Raw genomic sequence first — 24,445 nt, forward strand, 5'->3', positions numbered from 1 at the left:
ATGCCCAGATGTTTTTTTTGTATTTTTAGTAGAGATGGGGTTTCACTGTGTTAGCCAGGATGGTCTCGAGCTCCTGACCTCGTGATCCGCCTGCCTCAGCCTCCCAAAGTGCTGGGATTACAGGTGTGAGCCACTGTGCCTGTCCTCCTTCAGGCTTTTTTTTTTTTTTAATAGGCTATAATTTTTTTTTTTTTTTTTTGAGATGGTGTCTCTCTGTGTCACCCAGGGTGGAGTGCAGTGACGTGATCTCGGCTCACTGCGACCTCTGCCTCCCAGTTTCAAGCGATTCTCCTACCTCAGCCTCCTGAGTAGCTGGGATTACAGGTGTGCGCCACCATCCCAGCTAATTTTTATTTATTTATTTGTAGAAACAGGGTTTTACTATGTTGCTCAGGTTGGTCTCAAATTCCTGGCCTCCAGTGATCATCCCGCCTCAGTCTCCCAAAGTGCTGGGATTACAGGTGTGACCCACCGTGCTTGGCCGACTTTAATTCTGAAAGCATTTTAGATTTACAGAACAATTGAACAGAAAGTACAAAATTCCTACATACCGCTTCTCCCTGTCCCCACAGCTCTCCCTATTACTGATATCTTGTGATGAACCAATACTGATACTCTATTAGCAGCAAAGGTCCATCTATACTCTTTCTGTTGTGTTCCTTGATGGGTTTTGACAATTATATAATGTCATATATCCGTTGTTAGTATCATACAGGATAATTTCACTACCCTAAACTGGCTAGTTTTGTTTTTTTCTTAAACTTTTTTTTTTCTTTTGTGAGACTGAGTCTCGCTGTGTTGCCCAGGCTGGAGTGCAGTGGTGTGATCTCGGCTCACTGCAACCTCTGCCTCCCGGGTTCAAGGGATTCTCCTGCCTCAGCCTCCCGAGTGGCTGGGATTACAGGTGGCCGCCACTGTGCCCGGCTATTTTTTTTTTTTTTTGTAGTTTTAGTAGAGATGTGGTTTCACCATGTTGGTCAGGTTGGTCTTGAACTCCTGACCTCAGGTAATCCTCCCACTTCGGTCTCCCAAAATGCTGGGATTACAGGCATGAGCCACCGCGCCAGGCTTTTTTCTTAAACTTTTGATTTGAAATAATTATGCAATCCCAGGAAATTGTAAAAATCACACATAACATTCCATGAAACCTTTCCCAGCAGCCCCCAGTGAGGGCGTCATGCATAGCCGCAGTACATATTGAAACCAGGACATCGACAGCGGTGCATTACTGTAATCCAAGCAGCCGTATCTTCAGGCCTCAAAACTGAGCATTTAACTACATCTATGCATTTAACACATATGTGGATTAAGTGGTTGGTTATTGCTTTTTATGCCAGTGGGTTCACACCACCTTTGTTCTATGCCCTTTGCTTTTTTCACATGTCATATCTTGCCTTGGGCCTCTTTCCACATTGCTTCATAGTGATATTCCTGATTCTCTTCGTCAGCTGCAGGGGACTGTCCAGAATGAATGGACCTCTGTGTATATGACAGTTCTGTTCATGAGCATTCAGGTTGTTTCTTGCCATTTTGGTATTATAAATAACAGCACACTGAACATCCTTGTGTACAGACAGTTGTGCGCATTTTGGAGGCATGGTTTCCTGGCAGGGGAACTGTTAGGTCAAGGGTGTGTCCAGTGTTCAACATTTCAATGAACCCACCCAATTCACCTCCCTGGATGTTAACACGGACAGGTTGACTCATTTAGCCCTCACAAATCTATGGGGTAAATACTATGAGGTTATCATTTCCATCTGTAGGTGGGGAAGCTGAGGCTCAGAGAGGTGCAGCCACTAATTCAGGGTCACACAGTCCCAAGTGGCACAAAGCTGGACTCTCTGTCTGCCATGCACTGTGTCATTGGGGGTCCAAGGAAGGCTTGGCATTTTTAAAGGGACTTGCTCTTTCCACTTTAAGGATGCTACCTCTGTCCTCTCCTCCAAGACAGGCCTGGCCTGTCTGCATCTCTGGGCTCACATCTATTTTCTTAGGTGAAGAATGCGGGGCTCAGAAGAGCCCGACCAGGTGCCCATCTGGTGGCTTCTGACTGCAGCTCATAACTCTGCTTGGCTCTCCTCCAATTCTGAGAGGCTTCTCCCTTCCTTCTCCACCTCCATCCCAGCTGCTTCCACCCCTTAATGAGGTGAGCTTCACCCTGTAATGAGGTGCTCCAAGCCCAGAGTACATTTACTTCCCCTACATTTTTCCTGAGGGTGCTGATTAGAGTTGGTATCTGGGACCCAGCTGGCTGGGACAGCTTTCTTCAATTCTTCAAGCTCTGAATTAAAGGGTGTGAAGAGTGGTGGAGTCAGGAGAAGCGGGAGAGCTGCAGGGCTGGGCCTGGGTGGCTTCTCTGTGCAGAGGGCCTTGGACAAGCAAGTTCAGCCTCCCATGGCCTCAACTTGCCAGGGCTCTGCCAGTTCCCATAGAGATCTCTCTGCATGGTTGAAAGAGCCAAGGAGTCACTTGCCCACTTGGCCCTAAGAGCATCCCTGATGGGTGGAGAGTCCAAGGGCTGGAAAGGGACTTGGACTGCAGTCAGCCTAAGCCGCTCTTTGAACAGGGCAGGGACCAAGGCTCAGAGAAGGGAAGAGACTTTCTCAGGGTCACCCAATGAGGCTACAGGGGACTCGAATCATGGTCACCTGACTCCTGAGCCAGTGTTCTGTTGATCTTGTTTGACTCTGTCCCTCCTTCCCTCCTTTCTCCTCTTTCTCTTCCTTCTCTCCTTTCCTCCCACCTCTCTTCATCCTTCTCTTCCCTCCTCCTTTCCTTCTTTCTCATCTCCTTCTCTCTTTTCTCTTCCCTTCCTTCTTTCTCTCCCCTCCCCTCTTCCCTCTTCTATTCTCCTCTTTCCTCCACTTCTCCCTTCCCTCTCCCTCCTCCTCCTCCTTCTTCCTTCTCCTCCTCTTCTTCCTCTTCTTCTTCCTTTTTTTTTTTTTTTTTGAGACGGAGTTTCGCTCTTGTTGCCCAGGCTGGAGTGCAATGGTGCAGTCTCAGCTCACCGCAACCTCCACCTCCTGGGTTCAAGCGATTCTCCTGCCTCAGCCTCCCAAGTAGCTGGGATTACAGGCATGAGCCACCGCACCCTGTCCCTCTCCCTTCTTTTCTTCTCCTCTGTGCCTATTGGATGATAAGCCCTCACCTTCCAAGATGAAATTTCAGTGGAATTAAGAAAGATAAACCCAGGCTATCTTGGATGGTGGATGATGCTGGGGGCAAGAATTCTGGGCAGGAGACAACCAAAGTTGAGGGTGGTCAGCTCCACTCAAGGGTTTCTAGAGGCAGAGACCCTTGAACTGAATCTTGAAAACAGAATAAATTAAGGAGCGTGCTCTAGGCAGAGGAACCTGAATGGCAAAGACACAGTGGCTTGATTCAGCATGGAGCAGGTTCAGGGTCCTCCTTCTCAATGCAAGGCCTAGGGCCTCTGTCTTCCTGTTCATAAAGCATCAGCCTAAGGGCCCCTGCACTGGTGCTGTGAACCTAAGGGCTCTAATGGAGACAGGATTGCCATGTGGCCTAGCATCCTGGAGATTTCATTGATCCATCCTTGGACCCAGTACCCTCGAGGCCTGTCACCTCCTCTGCCCCATTCTGCCCAAATGCCTTCCCACGGCTGCAGACCCTGCATCCTCCTCCCTGCCCCAGCTGGTGACTTGGCTCTCAACCTGACAGCTACTGCAACCAGGTCTATTCTGGGCTGCAGGCAGGGATTTATTCTGCATTTTCTGAGCATGTAGAATTTATTCATAAAGCTGGAATGCTGCTTGGGATGTAAACAATTAAATATTTTTTAAAAATACATGCTCAGAAGTGGCGATGCTGGAAGACGGAGCTCACTGGTAGTCCCACACCTTGGGAAGGTGGAGTGAGGAGATTAGGACACCTGCGGGACCCTGATTTCAGACTGGTTGAGCCACTCACTTGTTGAGTGGCTCTGTGAAAGTTCCTACCCTTCTTTTGGGTCTCTGTCTCTCCTAAATAATAACAGTAGCTCACATTTAATCAGTGCTTGCCATGCTCCCAGGCACCGTTCTTTTTTTTTTTTTTTTTTTTTTTTTTTTTTTTTTTTTTTTTTTGAGACAGAGTTTCACTCTTGTTGCCAGGCTGAAGTGCAATGGCACGATCTCGGCCCTCTGCAACCTCTGCCTCCCAGGTACAGGTGATTCTCCTGTCTCAGCCTCCCAGGTAGCTTGGATCCAGACACTATTCTAAGAGCTTTGGCTACTTCAACAATCTCATGGAGTAGATGCTATTATCTTATTTTACAGATGAAGAAACTGAGGCTCAGAGGGGAGAAAGAACTTGCCAAATGGGGTGGACTAGGTGCTCTCCAGGGTCCCTTTTTCCTTGATTACCAGATACCCTATTCACCCCTTTTTGGAAGGGAGATAGTGATGGCTCAGTGAGAACTCCAATATGTATGAGTTCTGGACTCATCATTCAGAGACAAAGCATAACAATACTAGCAATAACAATGACAGTGGCGATGATGATGGAATGAATTGTTAATATTTACTCAGAATTCATCTTCTGCCAGACATGATTTAAGTGCTTTGTATGGATTATTCCATTTAATCCTCATAACTCTGTGGTAGATTATACCCATTTTATGGATGAGTAAGTGAAGGCTCAGAGAAGTAAAGTAAGTTACCTAAGGTCATGGACATAGGGAGGGGAAGAGCCCAATCTGGGACCAAGAGGTTCTGTCTTTAAATCCTACACCCTTATTCTTTACATCACTGAATTGCAGGGTTCATACCAATAAATGGAATTCATAATCATGCCTTTTTGTATGGTTGTTGCATTGATGAGATTATGTGCTTAGCACAGGCTCAGACGCATGGTGAGTACTCAGAAAATGCCAGCTACTCTTGGGCTTCCCTTGGACCCAGGAAATAGCTTTAAAGGGGACAGTTTGATAGATTGAATGGCCCCTGCTCAGCCTGCCTTGGCGAGGGGCATGTGAATGTGGAAAGAGCATTAGAGGGGACCATCTAGATCTGGGCTTGGTCCTGGACTCTACCTTGCTAGCTGAGTGATCTCAGGCAAGTCGTGCATAGACTTGCAGCTGGTCCATTCTTTGAGCCTTTGCCCCTGCAGGTGCCCCATGTGACATCTTCCAGCCAAGGTCTCCCTGACAACTCTGCTCCTCAGGTTGGGTCACCTGCTCTGGGACACACTCCTAGGTAGCTTGACACATTCAATGTCTTATTTCATTCTTAAAACAACCAGATGGGAGAGGAGCTACCCCATTTTACAGATAAGGCAACTGAGGCTCAGAGAGCTGATATCTCCTACTTGAGATCTTGCAGCCAGGTTGAAATTATCTTTGGACAATCAGCTTCCAGTTCTTTCCACAATTCCCACCACCTCAAAGATGCCTCCTTATCCATCTTTCTCCTCCAGCTTCTTGATCAAATTAGTTTGAGAGACACCCCACCCCCTCAACAGGCTCCCTTCCTCTTGTAAATTCCGCATACATGTTGGCATATTCAAGGTTCTGACAAGTCCTGCAAGAGGGAAACCTGTTTTGCTGAGTTTAGTTTGATGTTGCTCCAACTGATTTGTCCATAAAGCCTTCTTTTCCCCCAAACACCTGCTCATAGTCCCCAGAACACTGGGAATGGTTTGTGTGCTGTGTTCTCAGTTGTTAAGGTTCGGGCAATGATTCATGTTGGATTATGCATAACTCAGCATCAATTTATAGATGGCACATCGGCCAGGCCTTTGGACAACTTTCTCCAAACCCAGTCAGGTGGAACAATATGTCCAGGTTTGTGGGGCTGCATGGCACCTGAGGGCAGCAGGACCTGGAAGGAGCCCTAAGAAACAGGAATGGATTTGAAGTTCTAGCCTCTAAGAATGAGAAGGTTACATTTTCCATGTTCTCAAAAATAGAACTTTTCTGGTTGTCCCTGGGCAGAAAGCCACAGCTGCCTGAATTGGATTTTCTCCCGGGGTTTCTCTTTCTGACCCATTTGTCATTTTTAAGGGAGGAAATCTCTGAGTGGGATCATAATAGAGTTGACATTTACTGAGCAGGTTGCCTGTTATGCATCCTGCCCGTATAACCTCATTCATTCTTCTTTTATTTATTATTATACTTTAAGTTCTAGGGTACAGGTGCCCAATGTGCAGGTTTGTTACATAGGTATACATGTTCCACATTGGTTTGCTGCACACATCGACTTGTCATTTACATTAGGTTTCTCCTACTGCTATCCCTCCCCCAGCCCCCCACCCCCAGACAGGCCCCAATGTGTTGTGTTCCCCGCCCTGTGTCAATGTGTTCTCATTGTTCATCTCCCACCTATGAGTGAGAACATGTGGTGTTTGGTTTTCTGTCCTTGCGATAGTTTGCTTAGAATGATATAACCTCATTCGTTCTTCACAAGCACTCCATGGAGTGAATTCTGTTCGTCATTCCCATTTTACAGAGGAGGAGACTGAGGCTCAAAGTGTTGACATGACTTTGCCAACATCACGCGGCTGTAAGCAGTGGAGGTGGGATTTGAACTGAGGCAGTCTGTCTCCAGAACATTGCCTTTTCCTGTAGCAGCTACAGCCTTTTAGACTTATCTCTTCTCTACAGGCAGCCTCCTTCCTCACAGGCCTCCGAATTGTAAACCTCTGTGTGAGGAAAAGTGAACCAGATGCAGCAAGATTATAAAGAAGTCACATAATGTTGAGTAATTCAGCAACAGCACAGCTATTGTTGGAAGGAGAAATAACTTGGTTATTAATAAATGCAGGAGGCCACAGTAATTGATAGCAATTGAACTCATAGTGGGTGGGGAAAAACAGCTATGTTATTTCTCTCTCTCGCTCTCATTTTGTATCGACATAAAGGGAAAAACCTGCCTTTGCAGGTGGATTTGAGCAACTCAGAAACGGCAGTTTCATTACTTTCCCTTGTTCCTTTTCCTCCCTTCCTCCCTTTTTCTTTCTTTCTTTCTTTCTTTCGTTCTTTCTCTCTTTCTCTCTCTTTCTTTCTTCTTTTTCTTTTTCTTCTCTTTGTCTCTCTTTCTGTCTCTTTCTCTCTCTTTCTTTCCCTCCTTCTTTTCTTTTCTTTTTCTTTTCTCTCTTTCTTTCTTTCTCTCTCTCTCCTTCCTTCTCCCTCCCTCCCTCCCTCCCTTCCTTCCTTCCTCCCTCCCTCTTTTCTTTCCCTTTCCTTTCCCTTTCTCTTTCCCCTTCCCTTCCCCTTCCCTTTCCTCTTTCTTCTTTTTCTCTCATTTCTCTTTTGTTTGTTCTCTCAATTCAAATCCCAGCCTGCCTCTTACCAAAGGAGTGACCTGACAAATGGCTCAGGTGAGGCAGTTTGCCTGGGGTCACCTGGTTAGGTAACTACTCTTTCAGCTAAATCACTCTTTCCAAAACCACTGTCTCATGGATCATTAGATCCGCAAGAGATTCTGTAAATGCATTCTGAGGCCAACTAAGTCTGAACAGAATTTCTCCTTCTTACAGATTCATAAGATATACTTTAAAGGCTCTGAGAAGTCCTGCAGTTAAGAAACTTATTTAACCAAGCAATGACCAAATTGATATGATACAATATTCATTTATTTCCCAGTGATACTGATGACCATTCCATAGAACAACCACTACAAGGTGCACCTTTGGGGAACTCTGATCCCCACCTGTGTGGCCGGCCACTCTGCCCTGCTTCACACCCATTCTCCAGGAGGGCAGTGAGGAAGGGAAATGGGGTAGGAAGGCAGGAACTGTGGGCCCATCTGCCATGGGGACCTGTTTCTCCCTAGCAACCCGAAAAATGGCTGACAACCAAAAGCACAGACCAGAAATGATCTCTGCACTTAGCTTTGGGATTTCCTTGTCTCCTAATCTCCTTGCCTCCTGGTGGGTGGAGAGAAAAGTACCTGGATAGAGTGTGTGATCCCCTCTGGAGTGGGCTGGGGGCAGGGGAAAATCCACTTCCCCCAATGGGGAGTTCCCTTTGAGGAATAATTTCTGTCCTTTCTCTCTGTTTCTCTCTCTCTGCCTCTCCCTCTTTGTGTCTCTCTGCCTCTCTCACTTTGGTTTTATCTTGTATCCCATCTTCCCTTGCTGTGGCTTTGCAAAGAGCTGATGGTCTACATGGATGGTTCCTTGAGCATGGAGCCTGAGATCAGCCACAGCCGGGCAGAAATCACATCTTGTACCTCTTTGCACAAGAATTTTGACTTTACTGGGTCTGTTCTGCATTTGTGCACTGCCTCAGAGGGTTTTGGTGAGATGAGGCATGGAAAGCCTTTAGCTCAGTGCCTGGCACATAGGCTATGCTCAACACTCGATGGCTTGAGAAGAAGTGACCTCAGCTGACTCAGAAGCTCTGGGGTGTGACCCACATCCCAAGTGCACCAATCCATTATCCATTCCACATGGCCTCTTTAAAAAGCAGTGAATAGACAAGAACCTGCAGGGGAAGTCTCTGCAGCCAGCAGGACAGGATAATCCCTTCTGGGCTGAAGGGTACCCTCCTTGGTTTTGCAGGTGGAGAAGGGAATTGCAATTTTTTGAGCACCTTTTCTGGGCCAGGCACTCTGCTGGGTATCTCACATGTAACCATCTCATCTCCTTCTTGCAACCCTATGAAGAGGTGTTGGGGGTTTTAAGATTCCGTTTCACAGACAAACTGAGTCTCAAAAAGGCCGTGTACCTGGCTTTGTGCGACAAACTGGGAATAGCAGAAACAGGAATTGGACCCAGATCCAGTTTGGGCCAACACCCATGTTATTGCCCAGTTCCTTTTCTCCCTGCCTCAGGTGCCAACTCAGGGTTCTTGACCTCCCCTGGGAAGAGACTTTGGTCACTACCCATGTCCAAGCAAAGATAGAAGAATCCATGGGATTGGATTTTGTGCACCGGCCAGCCTTCGGGGAGCTGATAGTAGAAGATGCTTTTCCTGGCAAAGCTCCCTGTGTGCCCACCTGGATTGCACCAGCAGCATGCATCTCAGCTGCACCTGCAAATATCCCCCCTAGGTCAGGCAGGATTTAGAGAGTCCAGCCAGCATCCATTAACCACTCTTCTTTTCAGAAATATCAATTGCCAATTTCCTTTATGACTTCTCCCAGCTCGTTGAGGCCAGAAACAGTTGCAAGTGTTTAGAGAGCAGGCATGGAGTAGAGCAAGAGGAGGGGACAGGACCTCACCTACCTAGAAAGACATCTCCTATTTAGTTCACTCTCAATCCCCAGCACAGGAAGAAGAAAGTCTCATTCAGTGCTAATAGCCTTTAATGCCTCTCTCTAATATTTGCTTCTTAACAAAGAGAGAGCAGATTTCAGGCTCACAGGTAACAGTATTTAATTAGAATCTAATGACATTATTGTGCTTGTGTAATATTTGTTTCTACTTTCTATTTGTGGCAGGTGATAATGAATTCTCATTTAACATAGTGTGATAATATTTCTGTTTACAGTGTATTTAAGTGAAGATGAAAAGTGAGTCCATTTAAAAGTAGAGTCACAAAGATATGGCAAAAAAGATGATATTTGAAGGACTGATTTTGGTGAAAATGTAGTTCTTCCACTTAGTATCAGCCTGTTTTCTGGTGACTTCTCTCAATTAGATTTTTAATCTATAAAATGGGATTAATAATAGAGCTTTTTAGGACTCTTGTGAAGATTTAATAATAACAATAATAACAAATAACTACAACTAATAAGTACTGAGCTTTTTCCATGTGTCACTCCTGGAACAATAACCCAGGCTTTTCAACTGTAAAAGTCATGAGCTGAACAAAGACGCAATGTTGAATAAAATCAGGTAAGTGAATTAGATCACACCATCATCACCATCATCATCACTATCATCATCACTGTCATCACCATCATCATCACCATCATCATCTCCATCATTTTTTAAAGTGACAGGATTTTTAAAAATTAGCCATGTTACCTGAGTCTCAGTTTCATCATCTATAAAACGAGCATAGTCTGTAAAATGAGGTTAATACAGTGATGCTCTTGTGACCAGTGCAGAGTAATTGGCACATTAGGAGGATGTCAGTAAGCAATATCTATTTGTAATGCCCTTAGTGATTGGGGCCAGACCTCTTCCTTGGGTAGGGTCAAAGTCCTAGATAAAGTCCTTTTCCAAATTTCTAGTTTTGCCATAAGCCAGATTGGTTCTTCAAGCTGTCTACTTGAAGAATTGGGCCCTCACAATCTCTTTCTGATTGATTGAAAAATCCCTGTTGGTGGCTGTGATTCTTATTTCAAAGAAGGAAACACATTTATAGGAAAATAAGAGATGAAAGAGAGAACTTTTTTTAGTTTTATTTTTTAAGTTGACATATAATAAGTGTACATATTTATGGGGTACATAGTGGTGTTTCTAAACATGTACAGTTATCAGGGTAATTAGTGTATCCATCATCTTGAACAATTATCATTTATTTGTGTTAGGAACATTCAATATCCTCCTTCTAGCTATTTGAAACTATATAATATATTACAGTTAACTACAGTCATCCTACAATGCTATAGAACACTAGAACGTATTTCTCCTATCTAGCTGTGATTTTGTGTCCTTTAACAACTCTCTCCCTATCCGCCCACTTACCTCCCCACAAACCCTTCCCAGCCTCTAGTATGCTCTATTCTGCTTTCTACTTTTATGAAATCTTTTTTTTTAGCTTCCACATATGAATAAGAACATGTGATATTTGTCTTTCTGTGCCTGGCTATTTCACTTAACGTCCTCCAGTTCCACCCATGTTGCCATGAATGACAAGACTTCATGCTTTTTTATGTCTGAATAGTATTCCATTGTGTATATATACCACATTTTCTTTACCCATTTGTCTGTTTTGGACACCTAGGTTGATTCCCTCTCCTGGCTACGGTGAATCATGCTACAGTAAACATGGGGTACAGATGTCTCTTTGATGCACTGATTTCCTTGGGATAAATGCCCAGTAGTGGGATTGCTGGATCATACAGTAGTTCTATCTATAGTTTTTTGAGGAAAGTTCCTACTGCTCTCCATAGTTGCTGCACTAGTTTACATTCCCACCAACAATGTCTAAGAGTTCCTTTTTTTTTTTTTGCATCCTTGCCAGCACTTTTGCTTTTTGTCACCCCATCCTACTGGAGTGAGACGATACTTCATTGTGGTTTTGATTTGCATTTCCCTGATGATTAGAGATGTTGAACATTTTTTCATGTATTTGTTAGTGAAAATGTTTTAAGGACGACACTATTATTTGTTTTAAGAAGTCATTTATTGGCCGGGAGTGGGGGCTCACGCCTGTAATCCCAGCACTTTGGGAGGCTGAGGTGGGCAGATCATGAGGTCGGGAGATGGAGACCATCCTGGCTAACACAGTGAGACCCTGTCTCTACTAAAAATACAAAAAATTAGCTGGGCGTGGTGGTGGGTGCCTGTAGTTCCAGCTACACGGGAGGCTGAGGCAGGAGAATGGTGTGAACCCAGGAGGCGGAGCTTGCAGTGAGCTGAGATTGTGCCACTGCACTCCAGCCTGGGCGAGAGTGAGACTCCATCTCAAAAACAAAACAGAACAAAACAAAACAAACAAAAAAAAGAAGTCATTTATTTTTCTATGGATTAAAAAAGTAGTGCTCAACCATGGTAGAAAATTTGGAAAATAAAAAATCCCTTTACCTAGCTGTGATGGTTAATATTTAGCCATATTTCCCTTTTATTACTTTTTACAGCAGTTTAGAATGATTTGCACAGTTGATATCACTATGATATCATTTTCTAATCTGCTTTTCACTTAGCATTCAGGTGTAAGCATTGTCCATGGTATGCACAGTCTTCACTGCTAATTTTAAATGGCTTTATAATGGTCCAAAGAGTGGCTCTCCATTGATTCTTTAATCCCGTCTGGTTCCTCTCCCCACCCCGTTACATTCCAGCCACACTGGTTTGCTTGGCATTCCTTTAACACACCATGCTCATTTCTACCCCAGGGCCTTTGCACTGCCTCCTTCAACCTCTGAAGCACTTCGCTGGTTCTTTATGTAGTACCTCCTTCTCACCTTTCATAGCTCAGTTAATACATCACGTCTTCAGATAGAACCCACTTTGACCACCATAGACACCAAACAACTCCTTTGGTCTCTCTTGATCTCAGCACCCTGCTTTAGTTTCTGTTTGGCAGAGGGCAGAGGGAACTTTATAATTTTATGGCTGGAAATGATCTTATCTATTTGTTTACTTGTCTGTTGTCACACTCCCTCAATGGACTATAAGCTCCATGAGGACAGGCACCTTGTCTGTCTTGCTCATTGATTTTGGTGGCAGACACAGTGCCTGTCACATGAGGGGAGCTCAGTCAACATGTACACAGTAAGCAGATGGCTAGTTGGATGGTTGGATGTGTGATTGTGTAGCAGGACGAGTCACAGACAAAACTCCTCAGACACCGGATTAAAGAAGGAAGAGGTTTATTTGGCCGGGAGTGCCGGCAGACTTGCGTCTTAAGAGCCGAACTCCCTGAAAAAGAAATTCTTGGCCTTTTTAAAGGCTTACAACTTTAAGGGGTCCGCATGAAGAGGTCGTGATAAATCGAGCAAGCTGGGAAACGTGACTGGGGGGACTACATGCATCAGCTAACAGAATAGAAAGTTTTGCAATGCTTTCCCATACAATGTGTGGAATTTACAGATAACACAAGTAGTTTAGGTCAGGGGTTGATGTTATTATTATTACTTTTTTAACTCCTAGGGCCGGGTGGTGGTGCCAAGGTTGTCTGGCTATTTATCTTACTTCTGTTTGTTTCCAACTTTTTGCTTTCTCTTTCCTACTGTCTTGTGAACTAGGCAAGGTTGGGGGAGGAGGGCAGCAGGAGTAGTAGTGGTCTCCTTCCTTAATTGGATGAGGAGTTGAAAGGATAGGTAGGTGGCTTGCAGGGGATAGTGCATGCCTGGATGGGTAGGTAAATGGATATGTGGGTGGGTGAATCAATCATAATTTTACCAACCATCCCCCAATTTCACAGTTAGAGTGCTTCCCCATGATATTTTTAATCGCTTTGAAAAAGTAAGCAATGCAAATGGCGAGGAAGTCGGATAAGCAAGTCTCTTGGGAAATCCGACTCCTCCAGGGCCATTGCCTAGGGGCCCAGGCCTGGGCAGTTGTCCAAGCTCCCGGCTGAGGAGGCTGGCCTGGAGATTGGGAGGGTGCTGAGATTCTCCGAGGTCCTCTCGGGTGTTCATTCACCCCATGCCCAAGGCCTCACTGCCACGCCTCTGTTTTGTCCCCTTTGCAGTGGGTCGGAAGCAGTTCATGAGGTTTGAGTGGGCAAACTACGCAGCTGAGGCCCTGGGCTGCGAGTATGAGGAGCTGAACACGGCCACCTTCAAGCACCACCTTCGACAGATCATCCAGCAAATGACGTTTGGGCCAAGCCGATGGGGCCTCGAGGATGAGGAAACCAGCTCAGGTACATGGCTGCTGCCTCTTTGGGTGAGCTGGGCCCCCCTCTGGGCCAGCTCCTGGGGATACACCAGCATTCTTTAACTTTTTTATCAAAGATTTGTTAAGGGCCTATGCTATGAAGGCGTGTGTTAGATGCAGGGGAAGCCATCGTGGGTGGAAAGGGACCGGTCAATGCTAATGCTCAAATAACTATCTCCATTCAGTGGCCATGAAGGCTGCTGAAACCTGGCAGGGAGCCCCGCGCTGTGGGGAGGGGATGCCGTGGGCAGGGCCGATGGACCAATGCATTTCCATCGGATTTCGTGTTTGTTGAGCACCTACTAAGTAGGGGAAAGACTAGTCTTTCTGTTTGAGGGATGGAAATCCCGAGTGGCTGCTGCGAGGTGGAGGGATGGGAGAAGATGAGGGTGGAGAGCAAGGTGTGGTCCGCTCACTAAGGGTTTATAAACGAGGGTTTTCATTCTCAGGCCCTTGGGAAGCCGTGGAGTGGCTTAGGCAGGGGGATGGCATGATTTGGCTTTAAGAAGCTCAGCCTGGATGAAGGTTGGGGAGTGAGTGGGAGACAGGAGACCCACTGGGAACCTATAAAAATCACCAGGTGATAGGTGGTGGTCGGAAGTGCTAGTGGAGACGGGGCGAGGTGGACAGATTCAGGGGCTAGTTTACAAGCTGAGGTGATAGCATGGGCCCTAAGAGAAAGACAGAGACCAGCAGTGGCTGCTAGGATTTTGGCCCCAGCAGCTGGAAGAATGAGGATGCTTTGAACTGCCGTGGGGGAAAAACAGGAGGACTTTGTACTGTACTTGCAAGGATGTGATCTGCTGGGTCCCAAGTCTGCAGCCTCTGTGCATCTTTGGGAGCTCTCTAAGAGCAGCTGTCCTTGAGACAGCAGAGTTTGGGGTTAATGAGTAGGAGTGTTGTGAGCTGTGATTTTGGGGCCCATCTCTTGGAGCTCCTTTGCACCTTTGGAGCTGCTTCCACCTTCCAGGGACTTCGGCGTGAGGACTGATGTCACTTGGACCCCATTGGCCCTCTATGTCTCCTTTCAGGTCTGTGCTCTGGTGTGAACTGTGGTTTTCTTGAAGATTACCTCTCCTCTTCGACATGCACACACATTCCCAGAAGCATACACACACATGCTTATGCACACATGGTGTGCACACCATGTGTGCATCACACATGAACACACCACACATATGCACAGCACAACTTGTGTATGCACACATGTGCACAGATACCACGGAATCACACACATGCACAGACACTGGCACACATATACTGCAAGCATACACAGCACACACACAGATATGCGTGGCACATGTATGTGTAAACATGTGCACAGATATATATATAACACATGCACATACCATACAACTACACACACACGCATAGACACAAGCACACACGTGCACACATATGCACAGGCACAAACACCACACACATACTTAAGGATGGGTGCATCACACACAGGCACAGACAGATGCAGTCACCACTTTGTGAGTCTGAGTTAACCTCTCAGGCTGAGGTCTCAAGAGTAGACATTAAGCAGGCAGGGGACCTTCGGGCTTAGGAGAGATGCTGGGAGGCTGTGGGTTGCCTAGCAACAGCCCAGGTTGGGGGTGGATTCAGAGGAGGGGTGGGAAATGCTTTCGGGGCTGCAGTGGGCTGCCTGGAATGTACAAGCAGAATTACTCCTCCAGGCACTAGTGCGCACTGATTTGGAAACTGTGTTTTCAATTTTTTAGATAGAACTGAAACTTAAGGGACGGAATTTGTGATCTGATCCCCTACACTCCTCACTCTGCTTTGTTCAATGCACCCTAATCAAGGCTGGTGATTTTAATGGGATGCATATACATGCGTGTGTGTGTGTATTCGAGCAAAATCAAGTCCACAACTGTAATTATAGTTTTTGAGCCTTTATATTCCTCCTAACGTTCTAGGTAGGCACTTTTCCAATCTCATTCAGTATTCTTCATACCTGACTTTAAGCATTCCTTTGTATGGGTAGACTACAAATTACCTAACCCATTTTCTATTGTTGGTCACTCAAGTCATTTCAAAAAGTGATTTTTGCCAATTTAATCAACAATTGGAAGAACCTGTGTCCCCAGAAAGCTTTATTTCTCTCAATATTTCATTAGAATAAAAGCCTAGGAGTGAAATTATTAGGTCCCAGTATACGAACATTTTATGGCTTCTAATACAAAATTGTCAAATTTCTCTCCAGAAAAAGGGAATCATAAACATTTACTGAGTGTCTGCTATGTGCCAGACACTGGCAATTTAAAGGTCAGCAAACCCAGGGACAGCGCCTATCTTCAGGGCACGCCCAGCCTCATGAAGGAGACACAGGTTAATAAAATAACTATACTAGAAAGATGATGCTATGGGAAGTGCTATTAGAAGCAACACAGAGCTGGGAATTGGCCTAGTGGTGGTGATGGTGGTAGTCAAGGAAGGCTTTCCTGAGGAGGTGTCATTTGGGCTGAACCCTGAGTGATGAGCAGATCACTCTGGGGTGAAGGTAGGGCAGGTTACATAGGACGCTGTAGGCCCTGAAAGGACACTTAGACTTTGTCCTAAGAACCTGGGGAAATAATTTTAGCAGTGGAGGGATGTGGCAAGAAAAGAAGGATTTTCTAAATTGAGTGGTCCCTACTGCTCTGCAGTGATGTCCTTGGCCCCAGGCAAGATCCCTAACCAAGAATGCTGATTCTGTCCTCTTTCCCAGGGCTCAAGATGACAGGAGTGGACTGTGTGGAGGGGATGGCCTCGGGCCTGTACCAGGAACTCTTTGCGGCTGTGGTCTCACTCATCAACAGGTAACGGGGCCTTTTCCTAGGCACACAGTTGGCCTCTTGCAGGTGCACAGATGAATTCACATACCGGGCAGTTGAACAAAGTGGCAGTTTTTGAGCTGGCGAGAGGGTTTCTAAGGTGGACAGTGCTGGGTTTAACTTCTACCTTGGCCACCCACTGGCTGTGAGGTCGGCAAATCAGTTCACTTCTCTGATCTCCCTTTCCTCGTCTGTACAATAGCTCTCTTCCCAAGGACTGTTGTGAGGATTAAAAGAAATAATGAATTTAAATAACTCTTCCTGGCCAAGCGTGGTGGCTCATGCCTGTAATCCCAGTACTTTGGGAGGCTGAAGTAGGAGGATCACCTGAGATCAGGAATTCAAGACCAGCCTGGCCAACATGACGAAAACCTGTCTCTACTAAAAATTACAAAAATTAGCTGGGCGTGGTGGTGGGCGCCTGTAATCCCAGCTACTCGGGAGGCTGAGGCAGGGAGAATTGCTTGAACCTGGGAAGCAGAGGTTTCAGTGAGCCGAGATCGCGCCACCACACTCTAGCCTGGGTGACAGAGCGAGACTCTCTCAAAACAAAACAAAATGAAACAAATTCTTCCTAACAGTGATTGTAAAAATGCCAATAATAAAATCTAAGTACTTTTGAGTGGCTACTGAGGGCCAGGGATTGCACTAATTGTGTAACCTGCTTTGCATCATTGAATACTCACATGGGCCCATTGTACAGAGGAGGAGACTAAAGCTTGAAGGGGTAGAACCGAGATGCAAACACAATGCCACCTTCTCATGTCATACCTTCAGTTCCCCTGAATAGCCCAATACATTGCTCTCATCCATTTATTTTTCAAAATTGTCTTGCTGGGGATGGGAGCAACATGGTAGAAATTTGGAGTGGGCTGGGGTGTGCCTCTGATGTGTGTCTGCGGGGCTGCAGGCACCAGGAGCCTCTGTTTTCCATCGTTACGCACAATGCACTGAGCCCATGCTTGGAAACCCTTTTAGCAGTTTTTTCAGCAGAGCTAATTCAGAGCCTAGGCAAAGGCTTGCCTTCCTCCTCTGTGAAAGCAGAAAGCATAATTAGGCTTCTGAAATCCTGTTAAAGGGATGAGGCTGGCGCGTAGCAACAGAGCAGCCGGGTTTCTCCAAGTTGTCGTGGACACAGAATCAACTCCCTCTGACGCTGCTGAAGTAATTACCATCTGAGCCCACAGACATATTATCTAGAAACCAAGGGGATCATGCGTGCTTAGAGAGGGAGTACTGGGAATGGGAAATGAACTGCTGGCGGAGGAAACTGCCTTCACCAGTGAAGGGCAGCTGCTTCAAGGTTTGGGTTCTCAGAGGCCACATCTGTGAAATGCCGCATGGATGATCAAAGTACCTACTACAGCATTTATAAGCACCTAGTAGGTGTCTGTCTTGCCAAGAATAAACCGACTTCATCTTCATGCATGTCTGTGTGGTGGCTGCTCTTATTATCCCCATTTTATAGTTGGAAAACCTTGGCAAACAACAGAAGAACCAAGGTTCAACTAAGGGCCTCCAAAGCTCCTAGCTGATCATACTCGTGGTGATGAGAGCAGGTGGCATTTACTGAGCACTAACCACATGGCAAACTTTGCTTTCACAGCCATGGAAGCTTATCACACCCAACCCTCACAACAGCCCTCTGAGCTAGTCACCATCATTAACTGAGACGGTGGCTAAGACGGTGGAGGCTCAGAGAGGTTGGGCAACTCTCCCAAGACACACATCCCCTCTGTCACAGAGCAAGGATTGAAGCCCACATGTGACTGGCTCCAAAATCTCTTAAGTCCTAAATTTTGATGTGAATAATCCCTGTTGTGTCCACCCCTACAGATTCATCAGGAGAATACAAGGAGGTGATAGCTTGAAAGAATTTTGTAAACTGATGTATTAAATAAAATAGTTTTTTGATTTTAATAGGCCTCTGAAGAAAGAAAAGGAGGGCCTAGGCTTCATATGGTAGCCAACTTCTGGGTGACCTTAAGCTAGTCATTTTTTTTTTTTTTTACTTTGGGCCAGTGGGAGGCAGTTTAATTCCTTTAGTCCTTATAGCTATCCCTGGGATAAGCCTACTCACCCCCATCCTCATTTAACAGTTGGGGAAACCCCTGCTCAGAGAGGTTAAGTAGCTTGCCTGAGGTCACACAGCCTGTAAGAGGTGAGCTTGGTTTTGAAACCAGTTCTGCTGGAGGCTTGGATCAGTGTGCTCCTAGATTCCATGCCATCTCAGACATTCCACCTCTCTCTTCTCTCCCTAGATCCTTTTCCTCCCACCATCTCTCCATGGCCTCCATCATGGTGGTGGACTCTCCAGGCTTCCAGAACCCCCGGCACCAGGGCAAGGACCGGGCGGCCACCTTTGAGGAGCTGTGCCACAACTACGCCCATGAGCGCCTGCAGCTGCTGTTCTACCAGCGGACCTTTGTCTCCACGCTACAGCGATATCAAGAGGTATGCCTGGGCTGGAGCAGGGCTTTCACCAGAGCTCCGTGGATGGTGTAAGGTCAGATGGGAAGGGGTGGGATTCCCATTCCCCAGGAGCCTGCAGCTTCACCCTGTTTGGTTCACCAGAGAACAAAGCCCTTTCCCCAGGCCTGGCTCCCCAGACCTCTGTTGCTCCCTCCACAGCCCAGCCTCCCCCTGCCACCTTCTGAACCCCGCAGCCCAGAAGCACCAAGGAACTCGGGCTTCCCCAGTCCTTGCTTCCACGGCTGTCCTTTCTTTGGGATGACTGCTTCATTCTCTCCCACTTCACTTAAGCAGAAGGCTCCTCCAAGAGTCAGTCTGCATCTGCCCAGGGGGGGAATGCCCTTTGAGTCCTGTGGGTGGGTGGCAGCAGTGGGCTCCACACCCCTCTGCAGCACAGCACGGTGAGTCTCACAAAGTTGAAGGTACATGCATCACAAAACCCAGCAATTCCTCTTCTAGGAGGCACCTGAGAGAAACTCTGTGTGTGAACCAGGAAGCATGTACAGGCATGATCCTGCCAGCCCTTCTTTTTTCATAAAAAAAAAAAAAAAGAGGTTAAGTTGAAATATAAGGCCAGGCACGGTGGCTCATGCCTTAATCCCAGCACTTTGGGAGCCCGAGGCGGGCGGATCACCTGAGGTCAGGAGTTCAAGACCAGCCTGACCAACGTGGCAAACCCCATCTCTACTAAAAATACAAAAATTAGCCAGACTCAGTGGCGCACGCCCATAATCCCAGCTACTCGAGAGGCTGAGGCAGGAGAATCGCTTGAACCCGGGAGGTGGAGGTCGTGGTGAGCTGAGATTGCGCCACTGCACTCCAGCCTGGGTGACAAAGAGAGACTCCATCTCAAAAAATAATAATAATAATATAAAATAAAATAAAATAAATAAAATTTACAAAGAAAAGTGCATAAACCAGAAGCATATAGCTCAGTGAATTTACCCAAATGAACATACGTGTGTCTCTATCACCCACGTGAAAATGAGAGTATTTTCAGTTCCCCATATGACTCCCACCTTCTTCCCTGAAGGTGTGACCACTTTTATTCCAATAAGTACCACTGGCAGAATATTAGAAATGGCCATATTGTTCACCAGTTGAATAATATAGAATAATAGGTATTGAAGTTCCAGTCATTTTTTTGGTTGGTAATAAAAATAAAGCACCAACATAAATGAATCTCAAACAGATGATGCTGATGAAACCTGAGGTCTGATCCTAACTCTGTCGCTTATTGGCTGTGTGGCCTTAGGAAAGGCACTCACCCTCTCTGACCCTCAATTTTTTTTTTTACGTGGAAAACAGAGATAATAATACTTTTGTATCAGTTATGATTTGCCATAATAATGCTGCGTAATAAACTACCCCCAAGTGTAGTGGCTTAGAAAAAAATCTTCGGTTGTTGCTCACAAGTGTCTGGATGGCCTGGGCAGCTCTCTTGGTCCAGGATGGTTCTTGAGCTTGTGTTCAGATTCAGGTGTAGGTTGGGGTAGATGGCTCTGATGATCTTGGCAGGGCTCGCTCATGCGTGGGATCAGCTGGCCATGAACGGATCTAGGCAGGCCTTGTCTGGGGTAACCTTGTCCCTGTTCCACAAATGTCCCATCCTCCAGCAGGCTAGCTTGGGCTGTCCTTGTAGTGCTGGGCAGGGTTCCAAGAGAGCAAACAGAAGCGTGCAGGGGACCTTGAGGCCTGGACTTGAGGCCTGCACAGAATCACTTCCACTGTGTTCGGTGAGTCACAACAGGTCTAAGGCTGAGCATGGATTCAAGGGGTAGGAAAACAGGCTCCACTTCTTGATGGAGGCACTGCAGTGTCACTCTGCAGAGAGTATAGATACAGGGAAGTGCAGAGAACCAGGGTTGTTTTAGATCATTGTTACCAGACTCCCCAAAGGGGCCGTTTTGAACATTTAATGAACAAGAATAAAGAGTGTAACAGCTATTTTATTTTTCCCATAATATTTCACTTATTTCTGATTATCAATGTAATACATTTTTAATTAAAACGCTGGAAAGTTCATATGAGTATAAAGAAACTAAAGATACAATCTCCTTTGGCGCTTCTATCCAGAGGCAACCATTGTTACTATTCTGTTTCTTTTTTGTTTGTTGTTTGTTGTTGTTACCATTTTCCCTTTATTATGTTGTCCGTGGATTTTGGATCTTCCTGTATATATGAGTTTGTTGTCTGTCATTTTCCTCACAGTATTACATTATTCACATAACCTCCCTCCACTTACAAATCTTAGTAAACCTGCTTGCAGTGGTTAGATCTGATTGTATTCCCTCTCCTATAGACATCAGGGTAGTTTCTAAGTTCAAGGCTTTATAAACAATACTGCAGTGAACATCCTTGTCCACAGCATTTCCTGGACATTTCTAGTGATTTTTTAAAATTTTTTGTTTTTTAGATGGAGGTTCGCTCTTGTCGCCCAGGCTGGAGTGCAATGGAGTGATCTCAGCTCACTGCAACCTCTGCCTCCCGGGTTCAAGCGATTCTCTTGCCTCAGCCTCCCAAGTAGCTGGGATTACAGGCACCTGCCACCACGCCTGGCTAATTTTTGTATTTTTAGTAGCGATGGGGTTTCACCATGTTAGCCAGCCTAGTCTCTAATTCCTGACCTCAGGTGATCCGCCTGCCTCGGCCTCCCAAAGTGCTTGGATTACAGGCATGAGCCACAGCATCCGGCTTCTGGTGACATGATTGTGGCAACTATTATTCCCCATAGTTTACATTTGTTACTTCCAGCACCGAACACTCAGCCTAGCACTCATTAGGTTCTCAGTAAATATTTTAAAAGTTTGGACCGAGTTATCAGTTTCTGATAAAGCTCTCAGCATGACGGCTGACACGCTGCATGATGAGCAGAATGTCATTGGAGTGTGGATTTACAATCTTTCTTCCTACACAAAGGCTAAAAGGTGATGAATAAACAAACAACCCCATTAGCAACTGGAAAAATTAATTAAACAGACATTTCTCCAGAGATTTACAAAAGCACACAAAAAGAAGCTCACCATCACAAATCGTAAGAGAAATGCAAATCCAAACCACATTGAGACACCACCTCCCACACACTACAATGGCTACTATTAAAAAAAATCAGAAAATAACAAGTGTTGGGGTGATGTGGAGAAACTTGAACCCTTGTGCAGTATTGGTGGGAATGTAAAATAGTGCAGCCGCTGTGGAAAACAGAATGGTGGACCTCAAAACCTAAAAAAATAGAATTCCCATGTGATTCAGCAATTCCATGTCTGGGTATGTACTGAAAAGAATTGAAATTAGGGACTCAAACGGGTATTTGTGCACCAGATTGCAACATTATTCACAATAGCTGAAAGGCAGAAGCAACTCATATATAGATTGCAATTGACAGGCGATGGACAAGCAAAATGAGATACGCATATTACGAGATACGCACTTACTAGGAAGTATTATTCAGCCTTCAAAAGGAAGGACATTCTGATAAAATGGTACATGCTGGATGAACCCTGAGGACATTATGCTAAGTTACATAAGTCAGACACAAAAGGACAAATACTGTATGGTTTCACTTACATAAGCTACTTAGAAAAGTTGAGATCAGAGGCACAGAAAGTAGGATGCTGGGGGAGAAGGAAATAGGGAGTTAAGTCTCATGGGTACAGAGATTCCGTTTTGAAAGATGAAGAAAGTTCTGGAGATGGTTGGTGGTGATGGGTGCACAACAACATGAATGTACCTTATACCACTGAAATGTATACTTAAAATGACTAAAATGGTAAATTTTCTGCTATGTATCTTTTGCCAAAATTTAAAAAAACGATTTTTTTAAAGGGCCAAGAGGTGATGGAAATCCTCTCCGCTTTTTCCTTCTTCAGAAGTTTTCTTCCCCCTTCAGCTCGCTAAAAGTGCTAACTTTTAAATCCTGTTATTTTCCAGGAAGGTGTTCCTGTGCAGTTTGACCTCCCGGACCCCTCCCCAGGGACCACCGTGGCTGTTGTGGATCAAAATCCCTCTCAGGTAACACAGGGCCCAGCCAATCCAGGCTCTCAGATGCCAGTTGGCCATATTGAAATGCTGGTGGATTTGAGTCTTCAGTCTACTAGTTGTCAATGCCGTGTGCACCTAGAGTCACCCCGGGATCATTGGCAACGTGGATGCCTGGGACCCAACCCCAGATTCTGTGTAAATTGTTCTGAGGGTATGGCCTGAACAGTGGAAATTTAAGCATCATCAGGTTGAGAACTGCTGCTGTCCTTTATGTCTGAGTCTATGTCTTAGAATAGACTCGTGCCTGGGAGCCTGAGGCCTGAGCCAAAGTGAGTTCAGGGCTCATGGCCAGAGGCCACCAGCCACTCTGGCCTGGAAAGGTCAGATGTTTGAATGAAGGTGCTGTGCCCAGCAGAGACTGGGGACCTTGGGCACTGGAGAACAGGGGACCATGTTGGGTTCAGGGCCCTGAACTCATCTGGGGGCAGACAGGCGTTAGTTTGAGGGAAACTGAGTCTTTACCTCACTCTCTCCACCCCTAGAACTCACTTTGCTACCCCAGATCTGCACCTCTGCTCGACTCAGAACTGCCCTTGACAATTTCACTTGATTTTTTTGTCTTCCTCTTCACATTTTATTACAAAAGTGCTTGGGCCATGAAACCTGCCATGCTTGGGTCCAGTCTTGGTGACCTTGGGCATGTTACTTCACCTCTCTGAGCCTCAGTTTCCTCATTTCCAGAATGGGGATGCTACTTTTTCTGGGTTGCTGTGAATATCAATGAGATATTGCACATAAGGCACCTGGCGTGATGCTTGGCACACAGGAGGTGCCCTGCCGGTGGCATCTCTCCTGCCATCTGACACTGCAGGCTGCCCCTCCCCTTTTCTTCCTTCCTTGTCTCCTGCTGACCAGAGATGGCTTGCAGGCTTTCTCTTGGCACACAGTGGGCTGTACCCATCATTGCAAAGCCCTCTCCTGTGTAAGCCCAGCTGACTGTTGTCAGTGTGTTCTTCTGGTTGGCATCTGTCTAGTTCATTTCCTTCCACACTGTGCTTCCTCACCTGTGCCTCTCCTAGGAAAGGGTGGGCCTGAAGGGCTGATTTAGCAGTGTTGGCTGGGAAGGGCGGGGTAGTCTCCAGGGCCTGTGGCTGCAAATAGCTACCTTCTTCTTCTTTTTTTTTTTCTTTTTTTTTTGAGACAGAGTCTCACTCTGTCACCCAGGCTGGAGTGCAGTGGCACGATCTTGGCTCATTGCAACTTCTGCCTCCCGGATTCAAGCGATTCTCGTGCCTCAGCCTCCTGAGTAGCTGGGATTACAGGCATGCACCACCACACCCACCCTTAACAACTATTTTCTGAGGACCTTCTGAGCGTGGGCTGGCTATCAGTTTCAGCCCCAATAAAGAAGGCCAAGGTGAAGGATGCCTGGGATCCAGTTCCAGCTCTGCATCTTTGACTGTCCATCCGGGAGACCCTGGATGTGCCCCTTCCCCTCTCCAGGCCTCTGAGGGGTGTGGATTCCTCAGGGTGACCAACTGTCCTGGTTTGCATAGGACTTTCCCAGCTTTAGCACTGAAAGTTTCATGTCCCGGGCAAAGTAGGACAGTTGGTTACTGTGCATGTTGCATTTCCTCTATAACAAGTTGGTGGCCTTTTTTTGGTTGTGCCAACTCCTTATGGGCCCTCAGAGAGGCCCTTTAAACTCCCCAGGCCTCTCTCAGTTTCCC

The 24,445-nt window shown here is 46.1% G+C and overlaps 1 protein-coding gene across 14 annotated transcripts in view; it reads left to right on the forward strand.

Moving 5' to 3' along the window:
* Positions 1-24,445, forward strand: part of MYO18B (myosin XVIIIB) — a 321,660-nt gene that overhangs the window by 68,065 nt on the left and 229,150 nt on the right. For all 14 annotated transcript variants that reach the window (XM_011530461.3, XM_011530458.3, XM_017029014.2 and 11 more), the window contains 4 exons: positions 13,253-13,426; positions 16,157-16,247; positions 18,524-18,716; positions 22,665-22,745. In XM_011530461.3, the coding sequence (XP_011528763.1) occupies positions 13,253-13,426; positions 16,157-16,247; positions 18,524-18,716; positions 22,665-22,745 (539 nt within the window). The remainder of the gene's footprint in view (positions 1-13,252; positions 13,427-16,156; positions 16,248-18,523; positions 18,717-22,664; positions 22,746-24,445) is intronic.

This window comes from Homo sapiens, chromosome 22, assembly GCF_000001405.40.
Source record: "Homo sapiens chromosome 22, GRCh38.p14 Primary Assembly".
Taxonomy (NCBI): Eukaryota; Metazoa; Chordata; class Mammalia; order Primates; family Hominidae; genus Homo; species Homo sapiens.